The sequence below is a fragment of the Homo sapiens genome, chromosome 16 (genome assembly GCF_000001405.40).
Source record: "Homo sapiens chromosome 16, GRCh38.p14 Primary Assembly".
NCBI lineage: Eukaryota > Metazoa > Chordata > Mammalia > Primates > Hominidae > Homo > Homo sapiens.
The window spans coordinates 4696292-4717098 of NC_000016.10; the positions used below are offsets into that span (position 1 = coordinate 4696292).

Sequence of the window (20807 nt, forward strand, 5' to 3'; positions counted from 1 at the left end):
TGCCCAGCTCCATCTCAGAGCTCGGTGTGAGAGCAGCATGTCCCGGGGGAGGCCCTGTGCTACGGCGGGCTGGGGATGTTCTTGGCTCTCAAAGCCTTATCTTGAGTTGTCTGGGCTCCAGGAGCAAAAGACACACCCCTGAACAGCAGAGGACAGGGCAGTCAGGGTTGCTGCATTGGCCAGTGCCTCATGTCATGTGACCAGAACTGAGCCCTTCACTAGCTGTTCTTAAATTTTATTTTCCAAAAAATGGCATTTTCCAGGTGCCCCAGTCCTCATTCCTAAGGTCCCACCTCAGTTGGCACCTGTGCGTGTATATGGATACACTTTCCCCCCAGGGCCCTGCCTGGTATGGGCCAGGGCAGCCCATGAACTCTGGGCCTCACCACGAGGTTCTGGGTGAGGCCCTCGTCCCGCCTCAGTGCTGGCCCGAGCTGCCGAGCCAGGGCCGCAGCCCCCGTCTTGCCTCTGTCTGCCGGCTGCTCCCGGGGCCTGATCCTCTGGCCCCCACTGGGCCTGGGCTGCACATGGCAGCTACCTGCTCACTGTCCTCCTCACTCCCTGGCACACAGCTTCAGGGTGGACCAATCACCCAACGTCAGATTCTGAAAGAAAAAGCCCCGGTGAGAAGGGAGGGGGACAGGTGGGTGCATACCCACACCTGCAGCCGCCCAGACAGGCCCTGCTGCTCCCACCACGCGGGATCCAGGCTGGCAGACACTCACCGGCCCGCAGGCTAGGTCTCCCGCCACTTCTTCCCGTTCAGCACCTGCAGCTTCTCCAGGCTCTGGGTCACTAAGCACAGTGCTTGCCCTGAGGAATGATGACCTTGAGCCTCTCCCGGCCAGGCTCAGGAGGGCTGGGTGGTGCTGCCCCGGGGTCTCAGCTGCAGGATGTGACCTGCCCCTCACCCGTTATGGCCCCAGCCCCGAGGTCAGCCTTGGGGTAGAGAGACACAAACCCGCTTTCCCTGGAAAGGGGTCCCTTTGCCTCCCTCGGAAACAAAAGGAGCGCTCAGTCGTCTGGTCCCCGGAGACTCACCCATCTCACGGACACGGTCCTCCAGGGCTCCCGAGAGCTCGGGGAGGCTCATGGCCTGCAGGGACGCTTGCCAGCCCTTGGAGTCTGTGGTGCAGGTGCAGGGACCGAGTTAGCTGGGGGTCTGCGTCCCCACAGGCCCTGCTTTATTCTGAGCCCATGCAACCAGGAGAACCTGCTTGGATCAGAACCTCCCTACCCGCCTGACAGTGTCTAAGCAACCTCCCAAGGCCGAGGCAGGGAAGCCCTGTTGTGCCCTTCCTCCCACAGGCTGAGCAAACACTACGAGGCCCGGGTCAGCCCGAGAGAAGGCAAAGCTCTGCCGGTGGGGACCCGGGTCTGGGCCCTGGCTGGAGGCTACAGAAGTCACTGGCGGTCTCAGCACAGCACAGCCAGCCAAGGCACAGGGCCTTTCTCGAGTACCTCCTACCCCTGGGGGATAGGCAGTTTTCCTGTCACAGGTGAGGAAGTGGGCTTGGGTCCCCAGGGCCCCCTCTTTTCCTTGGACTCTGGGATCATGTGCACACAGGGACCTGGGAGAGTGGCTGCCGGCCGGAGAACCAGGCCAAGCCCACTGGGTCAAACCTGGCTTCAGGGCTCCCCCACCTTCCCCTCTGCCCAGTGCGGAGTCAGGCCACTGCTCTTACCAGCTGGGGGGACGGCTAGGCCCAGAGTGGCTGCACCAGGGGGCTGGTCCTGCCTCACTCGAGATGACAGCTCAGCTTGACAGGCTCTGCCAGACACAGAAACAAATATTGGTGAGAGCAGAGGCCTGGCCGCTGCAGAGCCCCCACCTCAGACCTTCTAGGGGAGGGAGGGGCTCAGCCCTGTCCTTGCAGCTGGCCCTCATGGGCTGGGCCAGTGCCCCATGAGGCTGCACTAAAGAGCAGGAGGGCGACCGGTGCAGATTCCCGGACCCAACTCCTGCCTGGGTCTGCCTGCAGGAAGGAAGGGCCTGATGAAATGGGGGTGGGGTGGCTCCAGACCCTGAAATCCACCCCTCAGTTACAAAATCAGGAGGAAAGGATGTGTGGGGGCCCAGGGGCCAGGTGGCTGACCACTGGAGACCCAGCCCAGGGCAGCTCAGAGCCACTCACCGCAGCTGGTCCAGGACGAGGGCAGCATCCCGGGCCAGGGCCCACGTCTCCCGCAGCCGGGCCTGGAGGTCCTCGCGGGCGCGGTCCTGCTCCAGCAGGCAGCTCTCCACCACGGCGCGCAGCTCCTGCTCCTGACACACCTGGCCCCGCGTGGCCTCTACCTCCTCGCAGCGCTGCAGGGGGGTGGGGGGCGCGGGGAGGCTGGGAGGTGGCCGGTCAAGCCAGACCCTTGGCCACGGCCCTGTCCTGTGTGTGGGGCCCTCTCCCCACTGCATCCACCTGACCCCTCCACACAGCACCCACCTTTTCTGTCAGAGATGGAGCCAACTCACGGGTGTCACCCTGCCCCCCCATCCCCCACCCAGCCACTCACCTTGTGCAGCTGGATGGCGAGCTCCTGCATCTCAGCCTCCAGCCGGTCGGCGTAGGCCAGCTCCAGGGCATCCCCGGGTGGGCGGGCACTGCTGTGCCAGCGGGCAATGGCGGACGTCATCTTCCTCTTGGGCCCAAACAGCCTGCGGGGGGAATGTGACCAGGATATGCCTCAGCGTCCCAAGAGCGCTTACATGAGTGGGAGTTTGCCCCAACCCCGGGCTGAGGGCCAGAGCGGCCCTTCTGGACGCACGTGATGCCAATTTCCTTCAGGTCGCTCTCAGTGAGGGTCAGAAAGATGCGGAGGTCCACGTCCTGCTCCTCAAACACCTGCAGGTACTTCAGACACCCGATCTGCTCCAGCAGTGCGGCAAGGTCCTGGCAGGCACAGGGGACAGGTTGGGGGAGGTAGTGGCTGACGACGAAGCAGAGACGTTTTCCTCCACTCGGAGCCCCACCACTTCCCCAGGCTCAGAACCAAGACAGTGCCTTGTGTGTGGCGCCCAGGCTGTCCCCTCCTACTCTGGTGGCTCAGGCAGGGCAGGATGTTGCAGGCAGGTGAGTCCTCACACTATGGTCGGCCACGTGGGGACAATGTATGTTCATCACCAGAAACTGGCCTCCTCCTCCCACACATGCTCAGTTCTGTGAAGGGACCATGGAGCTGCTGATCTCGACAATGCTTTGTAGGCGGAGAGCGCTGCCCTCTAATTCTAGAGTCTCAGTGTCGGATGTTCTGATTTCCACTTGTCTAAGCGCAGCTCTTCTCCGAGTTCACCTGTCTGGAGTTCACCGAGCTCCCTGGATGTAAGATCCGTGTTTCTGATCCACTGAGATGGTCAGGCTGTTTCTCACCCATCGTTTCTGCTCTCCTTCTGGAATGCCACTGTATGGGGTGGTGTCGGTGTGCTTGAGGGGATCACAGATTTCTGTTAATTTTTTTTACTCATTCTTTCTGTTCCTCAAGCGAGATGATCTCAGGTGACCTGTGTTCACAAGTTGTCTGACTCTTCTGCCTGCTCAATTCTGCTGTGAGCTCGTCTAGTGATATTTTCATTTCATTTACTTTTCAACTCCAGAAATCCTACTTTTGAGAGTTTATTGCTTTTAATGGACAAACAAATGTTACTCTGACATTTTCTTCAAGCTATTTTCTGAAAGAAACATACTTAGGACACTACCCTGACCAGACTCCACTCAACGTATGTTGAAGGGACCGAGACGTGTGCCTGCTCACTGAGCCAGGGGCTGCAGGGAGAAGCCGGCAAATCCAAGGCTCTACTGAACAGCAAAGCCAGTGCTTTAACAAATAACCAGCCAGGCCGGGCATGGCACCAGGCCAGGTGTGGTGGCTCACGCCTGTAATCCCAGCACTTTGGGAGGTCGAGGCGGGCGGATCACGATGTCAGGAATTTGAGACCAGCCTGGCCAACATAGTGAAATCCCGTCTCTACTAAAAATACAAAAAATTAGATGGGCATGGTGGCGGGTGCCTGTAATCCCAGCTACTTGGGAGGCTGAGGCAGGAGAATCGCTTGAACCCAGGAGGAGGAGGTTGCAGTGAGCCGAGATCGCGCCACTGCACTCCAGCCCAGATGACAGTGCGAGACTCCGTCTCGAACAAACAAACCAAATAACCAACCAGAGCTTCCCTCTGCCTCTCCTCTCCGTGCCTCTTCTGCCCACACAGGGTAGGAGAACTCAGCAGACACAGGTGAGACAGCTGAGCTGTGAGTCACACCTCTGATCCCTAAGGTAATGTGTGGTCAGAGGGACCACAGAAAGGAGGAGGATGGTGGCAGCTGTAACCATCACCAAGCACACACTGTGTGTAGTTCCTGTCTCTGCTTCAACCACATCTTGTCAGACTCCTGCAGGCAGCTCTGAGGTCAAGTGTGCTTTTCTTCTCCCCAGGCTCAGGGAGGCCAACTCCAGTATGGAAAGCAGGGAGACAGGTCCTTTCCGTGGAGAGGAACAGAGTAGAAGCGCTGCAGCGGGGCTGCCAGCCATGGAGCCGGCTGTGAGCCTGTGGAGCCTAACAGGCCATGGGGATGCCACCGCCATTCTGTTCTCCTAGCAGCGCCTGGCACGTCATATACACAACACATGCCTCCTAAGTCACAAAAAGTGCCGTCTCTGAGTGTAACCTCCAGTTTCACAAGCGGTCTTACCTGGGGTCCTGAGTAGGGGGCCCTCTGAGTCTGGGGGCTGGACTCAGCGAGAAAGCCTTCCCTGTCAGTTGCAGCGCGGGGAGGCCACTGGCTGTCAGGATTCTTGGTCTTCATGTAACTTTTAGCTTGTTTGCGAGCTGAGCTTTTACAGGCATGATCCGAGTCCTGCAGTGAGAGGCGTGCATCTGAAAGAGTGCGCGGGCTAACTTGAGAGCCTTGGTGAAACCCCCACCCGCCACACAGGGGCTTGAGAGGCTTCGTGAAACCCCCCACCCGCCACACAGGGGCTTCCGGTGCGTTCGCTGTCGTCTGAGAAGCCAGACCCTGGACACAGCACGTCCCAGTGCAGCACACACGTGCAGCAGCTGCTTCTTACATACATGCTCATCTTAAAGTAACTGGGGGATGTCAGGCATCCCAGCCAGGGACCGGCTATGGGAGACCAAGAAAGAAAGAATCCGTACCTCGTTGCTCTCCACAGAAGCTTCGCTGCTGAGCCCCTGGGCTCTGGCCAGGCCCTCGCTGCTGCTGCTGCTCTGGACGGGCCCCAGGTTGGCACAGAAAGCATGTTCCTCTGAGGGCGGGAAGACAGGGCGTCCGCCTGCAGCCCTCACCGAGGTGCTGCGCATGGGCGTGCCCCGGGCTGAGCCGCCTCCACCAGGGCACTCCTTGGGGCCTGCAGCGGTTGCTTCCTTATATTTCAAACTTCCTGCCTGTCCTAAACCCTCCCCTCTATACAGACGGGCAGGGCTTCTGTCTTTTTTGTTCACTGATAAATCCCAAGCACCCGGAGCAGTGCTTGGCACACGGTGGGCACTATGGAAACAGCTGCTGCACGGAGGTGCAGTTATAACAGACATTCCTACTGGGGCCTGCCCTGAAAGCCTCAGGGGCTCCCAAGCAAGGAGCTAAACCTGTTGCTGTGGAACGGCTCCCTTAAGCCGCACGGGGATGCTGGACCAGAAGCTTCTCCCATTCCTCACAAGAACCAGGGCCGTCCACACCTACCCCTTTCCTGTCCTCTGCTGGATGGCTGTGTCCAGCGCCAGGCCCAGGGGATAAGTGGGGATGGGCACACAGGAGCTCCAGGACCTGCCTGAGCCACGGGCCGGATGGGTGGGGGTGCACGTACCCCGACTGCTGCTGCTGCTGCTGCTCTCCACATCCCGCTCATTGATGGGGGAGGTGACATCCCGGCAGCAGAGGCCCTCTTCTTCCAGGGGGTTCTCGCCACTGCTGTTGAAGGTGACATAGCCACGGGGAGGAGCCTGCTCTGTGTACAGAATGGGGCCCATAAGCCCAGGGAACTCCAAAGTGAAACCTCCTCAGAGGCCGAGGCCCAGGATGGAGGCAGGTGACTTCCCAGTCATGACCTCACCTACTTGCCCCTGCGACCTGGCATGGCTCTATCTGTGGTGTGTGGGTGGAAAAGATGCTCTGAGGGTCAGTCAGTGGCCCAAGCAAGTGCCTGGTGGGGCGAGGGCTGGCAGCCAGGTCAAGCCTGGGCCCTCTCCATTTCTTTTCCAAGGGGAAAACGTAGCAAATGGTCAGCTGTATTTACAGATGCCTGACCAGAGAAAACTATACCATGAGTGTTCCTTTTAGCAGGAGGTAGCTAATGACCTCACACAGACACCCATCGACCACGTGTCTTTATGTCCCTGTGACCTTTAACCACAGGCGCTTAGCGGGCCTCCTCTGGTCAGTCAACCCCGGCGAAAAAGAGACCTGGCTGAGCAGGAAGGAAAAAGGCCTTGAGGTAAAAATTAACAACAATAATATGAAATTACCTAACTCTACCTGCCTCTAAAACCAAGCAGAAAAAGGGGCATGTATACCAGGCAATTTCACTCCAGTTTTGCCCCTTTACATAAAAAGACTGACTTGACCAGTCACGGTGGCACATGTCTGTAATCTCAGCTACTTGGGAGGCTGAGACAGGAGGATCGCTTGAGCTCAGGAACTGGAGCCTTCAGTGAGCTATGATCGTGCCACTGCACTCCAGCCTGGGCTACAGTGAAACCCTGTCTCAAAAAAGAACCCAAAGGACTGGTTGATGGGACCATGGGGAACTTACTTTCCTCTTTACGTATTTTCCTAGTTATGGAGAAGTTTTTCTAATCAGCACATGCTATTTATCATTGCCCCCTAAACTGTTTTTGAGACAGGGTCTTGCTGTGTTATCCAGACTGGAATGCAATGGCACCATCATGGGTCACTACAGCCTTGACCTCCTGGGCTCAAGCAATCCTTCCACCTCAGCCTCTCATGTAACTGGGGCTACAGGCATGGGCCACCATATCTGGCTAATTTTCAAAATTTTTTGTAGAGATAGGGTCTTGCTACATTGCCCAGGCTGGTCTCACAACTCCTGAGCCCAAGCAATCTTCCTACCTCAGCCTTCCAAAGTGCTGGGATTACAGGTATAAGCCACTGCACCTGGCCCCCCCAATTTTTTTTTTTTTTTTTTGAGACGGAGTCTTGCTCTGTCACCAGACTGGAGTGCAGTGGCACAATCTCGGCTCACTGCAACCTCCGCCTCCCGGGTTCAACCGATTCTCCTGCCTCAGCCTCCCGAGTAGCTGGGATTATAGGCACGTACTACCATGCCCAGCTAATTTTTGCATTTTTAGTAAAGATGGGATTTCACCATGTTGGCCAGGATGGTCTGGATCTCTTGATCCACCTGCCTCGGCCTCCCAAAGTGCTGGGATTACAGGCGTGAGCCACTGCGCCCGGCCCCAAATTTCTTAATTACTGGCAAATAAAATATATGCACTTATAGAAAATTTAAATTTCACAAGGTATGAGAAAACAAAAATCCCCTGAAATACCACACCTGAGACCACCACCATGATTACTTCTCTGTGGATACATACAAAGAACCGCACACAAGCGGCTTCAGACATGTATGATTTTGTTAAAGCATTTGTTGTACAGCTATATAGATTAATTACCAACTCAGCCCCAGGATGACAGCTTCCTTCCTGTCCCCACCACACCTCAGGCTGTAGCAGGTGGCAGGGACCTTTTGGAAGGAAGAGACTCTGCCACTCAGAACGACCAGCCCGGTGTCCCAGAGCCAGTGCTCACAGCTCAGCGGACGGGACACGGGCGGGCCCTCATGCTGTGGTGGGGCTGGCCAGCAGCTCGAGAGAGGCCTTCCCAGTGGCCCAGTCAGCTCACCCTTCCCAGGATGATGGGAGAAGGTGGGTCTCCAGTTCCCAACCCAGCACCCAGGCTTGGGAAGACAGAAGTCTGCACATCTGCTTGTTCCTGGGGTCTAGAAGGGAATTCAATTACTGGTGGACCCCTGGCTGAAACACTGTCTACTCTCACTCTTCCAAGTCCTGGCCTCAAAGAGGCCTTGCTCCCGAGAAGGACCAGCCACCAGGCCTGTGAGACCAGCAGCCTTGGCCTGGCTATGAGTGGGTGACAGCCATCAAAGGAAGACATAACTCACACCTCCAGCTGAGCTCTGGGACAGACCACAGCAATAGAGAGTAGGCACCAAACCCAACTCCCCTAAAAAGAAACCCCAGCACTCCCCAAGAGCAAAACGCTCAACACCCTGGGGCTGGGAATCTGAGAATGAACGAGACTGGAAAACCCAAAGGCTAGGATTCTTCACCAGCAAGTCAACAAGCGGGCCCTCTCTCAGGAGGGTCTGAGTACAACTTCATCGCCCTGAGAAAACAGCAGGGCCTGTTTTCTTGGCCTCCTGCCCCCAGCAGCGCACCCGACCCAGCTGGTATGGGCAGGGCAGGGAAGTGAACTTCACGCTTTGCCTCCTCCCTGTATGAGCCAACCCACCTATGTGATGAATGAAATCTGACCTTAGCTACATTTCTGCTGCAGGAGAGAAAGTTCTATTCCTAAATTTAACCAACGAAAAGGAAACTCCAGGAGATAAAGCAAAAAACAAGAGCTAGTCCGTGACCAATGCATTTCCATCACAGGACTCAATCCTGAGTCTCCCTGAGCATGAAAGCTGGGCCACCTGTCCCGCTGCCACCTGAGGTCCAGCGACCCACATTTCAGGAGCCTAAGAGCTATTCCATTCTTGCCAACACAAAATCCTGGTATGCAATGAGAAAGAGCCCTCGGGAAACGCGGGCCACTCACCATAGCGAGGCCGTGGGGCTCTGCCGCCCAGGCCAATGCCTGTGATCCTGGCCAGGGCTCGCGGTCCCTCGTGGATGCTGACACCCTTCTTCCGGCAAGGCCTCTGTCTCTGAGGAGCAGGGCAGGACTCGTCAGAAGAGCTCAGATCTTCGTACTTTTCTGTGATCAAACACCAAGATTAAGATAGTGTGTTCAGTAATGGACTCATTTACTAATCCTTACGGCAAACTGAAAGAAAGTGACTGTCGCCGGTTTTGTTAAATTAAGGAGAAGGGTATCTGCCAGGGCATCACTTCTGAGAAATGCCCTAACAGGCCGGGGCGCTGCTCCAATGGGCCACAGGGAGCTGCAAAGTTAGTGAGGATGGGAAGTTTCATTTTTCTTGAGACAGAGTCTCACTCTGTCCCCCGAGCTGAAGTGTAATGGCATGATCTTGGCTCACTCACTGCAACCTCCGCCTCCTGGGTTCTAGCGATTCTCACGCCTCACCCTTCCAAGTAGCTGCGGTTACAGATGCGTGCCACCATGCCCAGTGTTTTTTTTCTTTTCTTTTTCAGTAGACACAGGCTTTTGCCATGTTGGCCAGGCTGGTCTCAAACTCCTGATCTGCCTGCCTTGGCCTCCCAAAGTGCTGGGATTACAGGCATGAGCCACCATGCCCAGCCAGGAGTTTATTATCTCTGTTGGGGTTTGCCAAATTGTTCATAAGTCTGTATTGTTCATAATCAGAAATTCTGTTCTAATTTGAATAAGTAAAACCCATCTCTTCATTAAAATATATGGTAATATAAGTCACAACTACTTTTTCCTAATCCCTTCCTTTGGAAACAACTTTTTTTTTTTTCTTTTGAGAAGGAGTTTTGCTCTTGCTGCCCAGGCTGGAACTTCCGCCTCCTGGGTTCAAGCAATTCTCCTATCTCAGCCTCCCGAGTAGTTGGGAATTATAGGCAGATGCCACCATACCCAGCTAATTTTTATATTTTAGTAGAGATGGGGTTTCATCATATTAGGCTGGTCTTGAACTCCTGACCTCAGGTGATCCACCCACCTCAGCCTCGCAAAGTGCTGGGATTATAGGCACGTTACCACTGTGCCCGGCTGGAAACAACTTATTAAGCAATTCTGTATTTTCTTTTTTTTTTCTTTATTTTTTTGAGACGGAGTCTTGCTCTGTCACCCAGGCAGGAGTGCAATGGTGCGATCACGGCTCACTGCAAGCTCCACCTCCTGGGTTCACGCCACTCTCCTGCCTCAGGCTCCCAAGTAGCTGGGACTACAGGCACCCGGCCACCATGCCCAGCTAATCTTGTTTTTGTATTTTTAGTAGAGACGGGGTTTCACCATGTTGGCCAGGCTGGTCTCGATCTCCTGACCTTGTGATCCGCCCACCTTGGCCTCCCACAAAGTGCTGGCATCACAGGAGTGAGCCACAGCGCCCAGCCACAATTTTGTATTTTCTAAAGCATGGCATGTGTTTGCTATGATTATAAACTGTTTCAAATCACTTCCCAGTCTGAGCTTTCAGAGCTCAAACCAGAGCTTTTATTATTTTGTAGCTTTTCAGTTTTTCATATTTGATTTGTATAAGGCTCTGATCTGATTCTACTTTTAAGAGATACGTGAGTTGTATACAGGAGGAAATGATGAGATCTCCTTGTGGAGTGGGTAAGCTGGGGCAGAAATGAAGGGAAAGGTCCTTTGCATTACCACCTGAGCTGTGTTTATTATGAAACAATCCCAATGCCAGGGAAGAGGCTGGGCTGAGCCTGACACTGAGAAAGGAGCTGCTCGCTCAGGTGCAAACTGACAGGACAACTCAGGGCAGGCCAGCAAAGAGGGAGAGCTCAGGCCCTGAACGTGGGCCACTCTGTCCTTCCCCATGACGAGGCTCAAGCTCTGGCGACTGAGCTAGCCATATGGACACACACCTCCTCACACTCAAAGATCTATAGCACTCCAGGGAGACTGTGCTTCCATCCAAGCTGAAGGGGAGGGAGCTGTAAGACAAATGCAAAGAGGCAGCAATAAGCAAGGGAACGGCAGCTGCGTGAATCTCAGCACCCAACACACCCTCAGAGCAGCTTAAAAAGAACAGGCAGATGGAAACCACAAAAGAGCCAGGGCTGCAATCCTGCTATCAACGTGGAATTCAGGGCAAAACACATTAAATATGACACGGAAGGACACTTTTTTTTTTTTTTTTTTGAAACAGAGTTTCACTCCGTCACCTAGGCTGGAGTGCAGTGGCACAATCTCGGCTCATTGTAACCTCCGCCTCCCGGGTTCAAGTGATTCTCCTGCCTCAGCCTCCCGAGTAGCTGGGATTGTAAGTATGTGCCACCATGCCTGGCTAATTTGTGTATTTTGAGTAGAGACAAGGTTTCACCATGTAGGCTGGACTGGTCTCGAACTCCTGACCTCAGGGGATCTGCCCGCCTTGGCCTCCCAAAGTGCTCGGATTACAGGTATGGGCCATGCCCAGCCAGAAGGACACTTCTAATACTAAAAGCCATAATTCACAGTGAATCTATAACAAGTTATGAAAATCTGTCACCAAAAAATGCACCAACTTCCTTCATAAATCAGAAACACGCTAATAGGTAATTTTGTAGAAAATGAACTAAGAGTACATAATCCTAAATAAGATAGACTCACAGATATGCTAAACTGTATACAGATAATAGAGAATACAACTTCTCAAGCAAAACACGGAACACTAAAAAATATTGATCAGGGCCGGGCGCGGTGGCTCACGCCTGTAATCCCAGCACTTTGGGAGGCCGAGGTGGGCGGATCACTTGAGGTCAGGACTTCAAGACCAACCTGGCCAACATGGTGAAACCCTGTCCCTACTAAAAATACAAAAAAAAATGAGCCAGGCGTGGTGGCAGATGCCTGGAATCCCAACTACTCGGGAGGCTGAGGCAGGAGAGTCGCTTGAACCTGGGAGGCAGAGGTTGCAGTGAGTCAAGATCGCACTTGGGCACTCCAGCCTGGGTGACAGAGTGAGACTACATCTGAAAAAAATATATATATATATAGATAGATCAGTAGATGATAAATAAGATGACAAGGAAGTTATGTAAATGTAAGAATTATAAACACTCTCTGATCAGACACATTAAAGTTAATCAGAATAACATGAGAAATTAATTGCAAGATCAAAAAGGCCCTTCCATCTAGAAATTAACAAACAAAAACAATCATAATACTTCTATTAGACAACTCCTGGGTGAAGGAGAAAATATAAATAAAAATTACAGAATTTCTAAAAATAACAAGGAAAGTATTAAATACAGAACCCCCAGAATACACTTAAAGCAGCAATCAGCAAAAATTCACAGCCTCTAACATTTAGCAACAAAAGGGCAACAATGAAAATGAAAGAAGTTTCCAACTCAAAAAACTAGAACAACAAAGTAAGCCAAATAAAAATAAAAGCAGAAATTAAACAGACAATCAGTAGGTCTCATTAATAAATCAAAATCCGATGGGTTTTTCTTGTTTTTCCACTAAACAGACAAAGTACTAGTATTTAACTTAAGAAAAAAAGGAAGAGGCTGCGCACGGTGGCTCACACCTGTAATTCTAGCAGTTTGGGAGGCCGAGGTGGGCAGATCACGAGGTGAGGAGATCGAGACCATCCTGGCTAACACAGTGAAACCCTGTCTCTACTAAAAATACAAAAAAAAAATTAGCCAGGTGTGGTGGTGGGCACCCTGTAGTCCCAGCTACTCAAAAGGCTGAGGCAGGAGAATCGCTTGAACCTGGGAGGCGGGGGTTGCAGTGAGCCGAGATCGCGCCACTGCACTCCAGCCTGGGCAACAGAGCGAGACTCTGTCTCAAAAAAAAAAAAAGAACAAACACAAATATTCAAAATAAGAAGTGAGGCCGGGCGCAGTGGCTCATGCCTATAATCTCAGCACTGTGGGAGACTGAGGTGGGAGGATCGCTTGGGCCCAGGAGTTTGAGACCAGCCTGGGCAACATACTGAGACACTGTCTCTATTTTTTTTAATAGAAGAAATTTTTGCCGGGTGCAGCGGTTCATGCCTGTAATCCCAGCACTTTGGGAGGCCGAGTCGGGTGGACCACCTTATGTCGGGAGTTCGAGACCACCCTGACCAACATGGAGAAACCCTGTCTCTCCCAAAAATGCAAAATTAGCCAGACGTGGTGGCACATGCCTGTAATCCCAGCTACTAGGGAGGCTGAGGCAGGAGAATCGCTTGAACCCGGGAGGTGGAGGTTGCAGTGAGCCAAGATCGTGCCATTGCACTCCAGCCTAGGAAACAAGAGCGAAACTCCATCTCAAAAAAAAAAAAAAATTAAAAAATATAAGAAATGAGATCCAGCAATTCCACTACTGGGTATTTATCCAAAAGAAAGGAAATCAGTATACCAAAGAGATGTCTACACCCTCATGTTTACTGCCGCAGTATTCACAGTAGCCTAGATAGAGAATCAACCTGTGTCCATCAGTGGATGAACGAAGACAGAAAATGAGTTTATATACACAATTGAATATTATTCAGACATAAAGAATGAAATCTGATCATTTGTGGCAACATGAATAAGCCTGGAAGAGACTATGTTCAGTAAAATAAGCCAGACATAGAAAAGAAAGACAAATGCCAGCTGTTGTGGTGACTCACACTTGTAATCCCAACACTCTGGGAGGCCAAGGCGAGAGGATCACTTGAGCCCAGGAGTTCAAAACCAACCTGGTCAGTATAGCAAGACCCCGTCTCTACAAAAAAATAAAACATTAGCCAGGTGTGGTGGTAGGTGCCTGTAGTGCCAGCTACTCGGGAGGCTGAGATAGGAGGATCACTTGAGCCCAGGAATTGGAGGCTGCAGTGAGCCAAGATTATGCCACCACACTCCAGCCTGGGTGACAAAGCGAGAACCTGTCTCAAAAACCAAACAAACAACAAAAAAGACTACATGACTACATGATGTCACCCATTTACAGGATTTTTAAAAGCTCATGTCAAACATGTAGAGTAGAATAGTGATTATCAGAGGTTGGGGGTGGGGAGGTAGTGGGAGAGATTGGTCAATAGGTGTAAAATTACAGATCGAAGAAAGAAGTTCTGGTGTTCACAGTAGAGTGACTATACGGAACAACAGCTTATACCTCAAAATAGCTACTAGAAGACATGATTTTAAATGTTCTCACCTCGAAATGATAAATGTTTGAGGTGATGGATAAGCTAATCACCTTAATTTGATCATTACACAGTGTATACATGTATCAAAACATCACACACTGTACCCCATAAATATGTAGTTATTTTGTGTCAATTAAAAATGAGATAAATATTTTCCAGGTCAGGTGCAGTAGCTCATGCCTGTAGTCCCAGCACTTTGGGAGGCTGAGGCGGGTGGATTGCTTGAGCTCAGGACTCTTGAGACCAGCCTGGTCAACATGGCAAAACCACCTCTCTACAAAAAATACAAACGTAAGCTGGGCGTGGTAGGGTGCACCTACAGTCCTAGCTACTCGTAGAGCTGAGGTAGAAGGATCGTTTTGAGCCTGGGAGGCGGAGGTTGCATTGAGTCGAGATTGGGTCACTGGACTCCAGCCTGGGTGACAAAGCAAGACCCTGTCACAAAAAATAAATCAATATTTTCCATGCCAAAAAAAGATAATAACAGGAGAAAATAACCACTGAAACAGAGTATTTTATTTTGTTTTATTTTATCTATTTACTTTTCTTTGAGATGGAGTCTCGCTCTGTCGCCAAGCTGGAGTGCAGTGGCGTGATTTTGGCTTACTGCAATCTCCCCCTCCCGGGTTCAAGTGATTCTCCTGCCTCAGCCTCCAGAGTAGCTGGCGCACACCACCACATTGGCTTATTTTTGTATTTTTAGTGGAGACGGGGTTTCACCATGTTGGCCAGGCTGGTCTTGAACTCCTGACCTCAAGTGATCCACACGCCTCAGCCTCCCAAAGTGCTGAGATTACAGGCATGAGCCACTGCACCCAGCCTGAAACAGAATTTTTTTTTTTTTTTTTTTTTTGAGACAGAGTTTCGCTCTTGTTGCCTAGGCTGGACTGCAATGGCACGATCTCGGCTCACCTCAACCTCTGCCTCCCGGGTTCAAGGGATTCTCCCACCTCAGCCTCCCGAGTAGCTGGGATTACAGGCATGCACCACTACGCCCAGCTAATTTTATATTTTTAGTAGAGATGGGGTTTCTCCATACTGATCAGGCTGGTCTCGAACTCCCGACCTCAGGTGATCCGCCCAACTCGGCCTTCCAAAGTGCTGAGATTATAGGCATAAGCCACCGCGCCTGGCCCTGAAACAGAATATTTTAAAAGGAGAAAAAAATTGGCCGGGTGCGGTGGCTCACACCTATAATCCCAGTACTTTGGGAGGCCCAGGTGGGCAGACCACCTGAGGTCGGGAGTTTGAGACCAGCCCGGCCAACATGGAGAAACCCTGTCTCTACTAAAAACATAAAATTATCCAGGCATGGTAGCGCATGCCTGTAATCCCATCTACTTGGGACGCTGAGGCAGGAGAATCACTTGAACCCGGGAGGCAGAGGTTGCGGTGAGTCAAGATCGAGCCACTGCACTCCAGCCTGGGGAACAAGAGTGAAACTCTGTCTCAAAAAAAAAAAAAAAAAAAGGGAGAAAATATTATCTTGTAGACCTCTGCAGATAAGTCTGAAATCCTAGATGAAGTGATCTCTCAGGAAAATATAATTTACCAAAACTGACCCCATAAGAAAAGAAAGTATGAGGAGGCCAATCTCTATAGAAGAAATAGAAAAACTGTTATCGAGGAACCACCTCACAGAAAGAGACCAGATGGTTTCATGGGAGGATTCTATCAAAACTTCTAAGACCAGGTAGCACTAATGCTACGTGTATTGTCCTAGAACACAAAAAAGGAAGGAAAACTTCCAAATTATTTTTATGAAGTAAACACTGATACCCATACCTGATAGACAGAACAAAAATAGAAAAGTATAGACCACGCCGGGAGCGGTGGCTCACGCCTGTAATCCCAGCACTTTGGGAGGCTGAGGCAGGCGGATCACTGGAGATCAGGAGTTCGAGACCAGCCTGGCCAACATGGTGAAACCCCGTCTCTACTAAAAATACAAAAATTAGCTGGGTGTAGTGGTGCACGCCTGTGATCCCAGCTACTCGGGAGGCTGAGGCAGAAGAATTGCTTGAACTCAGGAGGCGGAGGTTGCGGAGGTTGCAGTGAGCTGAGATCTCGCCACTCCAGTCCAGCCTGGGCAACAGAGCAAGACTCCATTTCAAAAACAAAAAAAAAGAAGAAAGAAAACTATAGACCAGTATCACTTATGACTGAATATCCATAGAAAAATACTAAATATTAATAAACAGAATTCAAAAACACATTAAAATAGTACAACATGTGGGATTTATGCCAAGAATGTAAGGTTGATTCATTATTAGGAGGTTCATGAAGACAATCTACCATATGAAAATTCACCATCGTCTCCAAAGATATGGGAACACAATTCAATAGTTACTCCTGTAAAACACCACTCAGGAATAGAAGAACTGAGGAATACTTTGTTAATAAGCTAAAATAACATATGCCTTCCCTTTTACAGTCAGCCTCTCATGTAACGTGGCATTTCCACTAAGATCAGGACCAAGGTAAGGAGGCTCACTATCTCCACTATGTTGAACAATGAGCTAGAGGTGTTAGCAACTAAACAAAAGAACGGTGCAATTCAACAAAGTCAGAGTCATGAGAATCAGCAGGAAGCAGTGTATCCATCGATACTTAAAGATTATATGTTAGTACACCTGTAAAGCCCTAAAGAATCAATAACAAAACTAACCTGAACAATGTAAGAATTCTGTAAGGTAGCAGAATATAAAATTAGTTTGCAGGGCTGAGTGCAGTGGCTCACACCTGTAATCCCAGCACTTTGGGAGGCTGAGATGGGTGGATCACCTGAGGTTGCGAGTTCTAGACCAGCCTGACCAACATGGAGAAACCCCATCTCTACTGAAAATACAAAAAATTAGCCGGGCATGGTGGTGCACGCCTGTAATCCCAGCTACCTGGGAGGCTGAGGCAAAATTGCTTGAACCTGGGAGGAAGAGGTTGCGGTGAGGCAAGATCGCTTCATTGCACTCCAGCCTGAGCAACAAGAGCGAAACTCCCGTATCAAAAAAAAAACAAAAGTTTGCAGAAATCCACTGCCTTCAAATGCACTGACAATATGCAGTGAAACGATATAATGACACCACTAAAGGACTTATTCACGTATCCAACCACCACCTGTTCTCCAAAAACCTACTGAAATAAAAAATAAATAGCACTGAATAATTAATACCCTGAGAGTTGGGGGGAAAAAAAGGATATAATGATAGGGAAAACCCCATTTACAATAGCGACAAAGATGATCAAACACTTAGGAATAAACTTAAGTCACATGCAAAATGTAGATGAAGAAAAATTTAAAACCCTCCTGCAAGACCCAAAAGTACATTGGAACAAGAAGTCATCCCTTGTTCTTGGATAAGACAACAACACAAAGATATAGTTAATTTATACATTGTCACAATCTCAGTAAAAATATCAATACTGTTTTTAAGGAGCTAGACAAGTTGATATTCAAGTTCATATAGAAGAATGAACAAGCCATAGCTCAGGAAACAGTGAAAACAGAAAACTAAGAGGGGCCTGCCCCTACTCGGTAGTCAAGCATACTACAGAAAGCCTCTACATTCACAACAGCCTGGTTTTGTACCACTCTCCATCGTAACCATCCTTATCTCCTGTTAGAGCAGGGGCCTCAACCTTGACATGTAAGCAGCTGGGGGAGGCAGAGCCAAATCTCAGAGAAGGTGGGAGCCGGGGAAGCGGGGGACATCTTTCTCTGCCAGGTCACCTAAAGCTCAAGGCAACCAGAGACCCCAGCAGGGCGCGGCTGGCAGGTGTGGGTACCTGGGCTCCGATAGAGGCTCTTGGGCAGAGAGGGCGAGTAAGTGTCCATCAAGGCCACGATCTTCATGTGTCCGTACTGCTTGGCCAGCATCCGGGCTGTGGCTCCACTGTGGTCTCTCGCGTCCACCTTGACTCCCTGTGAATGTCCGTGAAAGGGGGTTAGGGGCCTCTCCTTCAAAGCACCTGCCCTTCCTGGGCTGCTGGCTGGGAAGACAGAAGGGCATATGCTGGTTTCTGACTGCCTCCCTGTGTGGGAAACATCACATCTGCATGAGAAAGAGGCAGGCTTGTCTGCACCGCAGCCACAAGTTTTGCTCTCACTCTCTTCTTAGGGACAAGGATGAGGAGGGCTGGGGGCTGGGGAGTCATCTCCCACGCTCATGACCTCCCTTGCAGGGGGCTGGCAGCCACCATGCGGAGATCCCAGCCTTCACCTTCTGCGCCTGGGCTGTGTCCCACTCACTTCGCTTGTCTTCAAAGAAAGCAGCCTTTTAAACCAGTCAGAATGAAAGCACCATCCTCTGAAGCAGAATTCGTAACTTTGATCCAAAGCTCTATAATGTATTTACAGGTCTTGCAGCGCAACAATTCCACTTCCATGACCCTAAGGAAATAACCCTAAATACAGAAAAGGCTTTAGTGCACAAAGATGTTTGGCACAGGCCGGGTGCGGTGGCTCATGCCTGTAATCCCAGCACTTTGGGAGGCCGAGGTGGGCAGATCACGAGGTCAGGAGATTGAGACCATCCTGGCCAACATGGTGAAACCCCGTCTCTACTAAAAATACAAAAATTAGCCGGGCGTGGTGGTGAACGCCTATAGTCTCAGCTACTCGGGAGGCTGAGGCAGGAGAATTGCTTGAACCCGGGAAGCGGAGGCTGCAGTGAGCTGAGATCATGCCACTGCACTCCAGCCTGAAGACAGAGTGAGACTCTGTCTCAAAAAAAAAAAAAAAAAAAAAAAAAGGATGTTTGGCACAGCATATTCACAATAATGAAAACCTACCTAGAGAAAACTTGAATGCTCAGGGGGATAAGCAGTCAGTTCTGTTATTGCCATAGATGGTGATATTTACAAACAGCTGTATGATCAAGTTGAAAAAGGATCATGGCCAAGTGAGGTGGCTCATGCCTGTAATCCCAGCATTTGACAGGCCAAGGCAGGTGGATCGCTCGGCTCAGGAGTTGGACAACAACCTGGGCAACACAGCATGAACCCACCTCTACAAGAAAAAAAAATAAACTATAATCAATACAGCATGTTTTTGGTGTCACTGTACACTGTAACTGTCCTTCTCTCCTGTCAGACCAGGCAGCTGGGGGAGGCAGGGAAGCCAGAGCCAAAGCTCAGAGGAGGAGGCGGGACCCCGGAAAGGGGGAGCATCTTTAATAAAAAATTAGCAGGGTGTGGCGGCACATGCCTGTAGTCCCAGCTACTCAGGAGGCTGAGGCAGGAGGATCACTTAAGTCCCAGAGCTTGACGCTGCAGCGAGCTGAGATCGCACCACTGTACTCCAGCCTGGGCAATAGAGCGAGACCTTGTCTCAAAAAAATAAAAAAGGATCATGATACAAAACTACATATACATTACAACTCCGGCAAAATGAGACCAAAAAAATTACACAGAAAACAATATTGGAAGGTAACATACCCAAAATGTTGCTATTTTTAAGTTATTTACTATTTTTGATGGGGATTTTTCCAATTTTCCAATCTTCTATGTTTTTAAAATGTACTACCATAAGCATGTTTGCTTTTTTTTTTTTAATAGGATCTTGCTCTGTTACCCAGGCTGAAGTGCAGCGGCGCCTAAGGAAATAATGCAGGACATACACTACAATTTAGAATTTTCACTGTGGCATTCAGCATAGTGAGAATCAGAAGGAACTTAAAATAAGAGATTAATGAGCTACGTGAGAGCATATCCAGAAAACAGAGCGCCTCCCGCCCATTTACGTGGTGGGTGGGAGTACCTGCGGTGACACGGACTAGGGTGCACAAAACATCATTAAGAGAAAAAAGGCACAGCCAGGCGCCGTGGCTCATGCCTGTAATCCCAGCACTTTGGGAGGCCGAGGTGGACGGAGCACAAGGTCAGGAGTTCCATACCAGCCTGGCCAACAGGGTGAATCCTCATCTCTACTACAAATACAAAAAGAAATTAGCCGGGCGTGGTGGTGGGCACCTGCAGTCCCAGCTACTCCGGGGGGCTGAGGCAGGAGAATCGCTTGAACCCAGGAGGTGGAGGTTGCAGTGAGCCAAGATCGCACCACTGGACTCCAGCCTGGGCGACACACGGAGACTCCAACTCAAAAAAAAAAAAAAAAAAAAAAATCACAACCCTTAAGGAGTTTTGCTACCACCCATACGGCAACTGTCTCTCCCGTTAGACCAGGGGGCCTCAACCTTGACCCCCATATGTAGTTGGTGGGGGAGGCAGAGGTGGTCTCTGGGCAGGGATACAGGACAAAAAACTGTGTTTTCACAAAGTATAAGGAGTTTTACTTTCTAGAGTGCCCCCCATCCTACTTTTGACTCTGATTAAAAATTACCTATGAGACTTTGTGCCTTAAAAAATAATTTATAGGCCGGGCACAGTGGCTCACGCCTGTAATCCCAGCACTTTGGGGGACCAAGGTGGGTGGATCATAGGTCATGAGTTCGAGACCAGCCTGGGCAATGTGGTGAAACCCCGTCTCTACTAAAAAATACAAAAATTAGCCAGGTGTGGTGGTGCGTGCCTGTATCCCAGCTACTCAGGAGGCTGAGGGAGGAGAAATCCTTGAATCCAGGAGGCGGAGGTTGCAGTGAGCTGAGATCGCGCCACTGCACTACAGCCTCGACGACAGACTGAGATTCCATCTCAAAAAAATAATAATAAATAATAACAATAATTTATAAGCTGGGCACGGTGGCTCAAGCCTGTAATCCCAGCACTTTGGTAGGCCGAGACGGGTGGATCACCTGAGGTCAGGAGTTCAAGACCAGCCTGGCCAATGTGGGAAAACGTGGTAAAACCCCATCTCTACTAAAAATACAAAAATTAGCC

At 50.6% G+C, this 20807-nt stretch overlaps 1 protein-coding gene across 12 annotated transcripts in view, besides 2 other annotated features; it reads right to left on the reverse strand.

The window, feature by feature from the left end:
* Nucleotides 1–219: 219 nt before the first annotated feature.
* Nucleotides 220–20807, reverse strand: part of ANKS3 (ankyrin repeat and sterile alpha motif domain containing 3) — a 37761-nt gene continuing 17173 nt past the window's right edge. For 11 of the 12 annotated variants that reach the window (NR_040252.2, NM_001324129.2, NM_001242929.2 and 8 more), the window contains 12 exons: nt 17760–17895; nt 8804–8962; nt 5811–5951; nt 5143–5252; nt 4679–4843; nt 2761–2885; nt 2509–2650; nt 2136–2308; nt 1686–1771; nt 1042–1125; nt 726–813; nt 220–605 (listed from right to left, as the gene is read on the reverse strand). Coding sequence is in view for 11 of the 12 variants with exons in the window: in NM_001324129.2 (NP_001311058.1) it covers nt 737–813; nt 1042–1125; nt 1686–1771; nt 2136–2308; nt 2509–2650; nt 2761–2885; nt 4679–4843; nt 5143–5252; nt 5811–5951; nt 8804–8962; nt 17760–17895 (1398 nt within the window). In the remaining variant the exon portion in view is untranslated. The remainder of the gene's footprint in view (nt 606–725; nt 814–1041; nt 1126–1685; nt 1772–2135; nt 2309–2508; nt 2651–2760; nt 2886–4678; nt 4844–5142; nt 5253–5810; nt 5952–8803; nt 8963–17759; nt 17896–20807) is intronic. The other variant, NM_001324130.2, reaches the window with a different exon arrangement.
* Nucleotides 17349–17990: an enhancer, noted in NCBI's record as "OCT4-H3K4me1 hESC enhancer chr16:4763641-4764282 (GRCh37/hg19 assembly coordinates)". NCBI's record gives its function as "activates a minimal SCP1, AML or CMV promoter by ChIP-STARR-seq in naive and primed H9 embryonic stem cells {active_cell/tissue: H9 hESC(naive and primed)}" and the evidence as "EXISTENCE:reporter gene assay evidence [ECO:0000049][PMID:30033119]".
* Nucleotides 17991–18630: an enhancer, noted in NCBI's record as "OCT4-H3K4me1 hESC enhancer chr16:4764283-4764922 (GRCh37/hg19 assembly coordinates)". NCBI's record gives its function as "activates a minimal SCP1, AML or CMV promoter by ChIP-STARR-seq in naive and primed H9 embryonic stem cells {active_cell/tissue: H9 hESC(naive and primed)}" and the evidence as "EXISTENCE:reporter gene assay evidence [ECO:0000049][PMID:30033119]".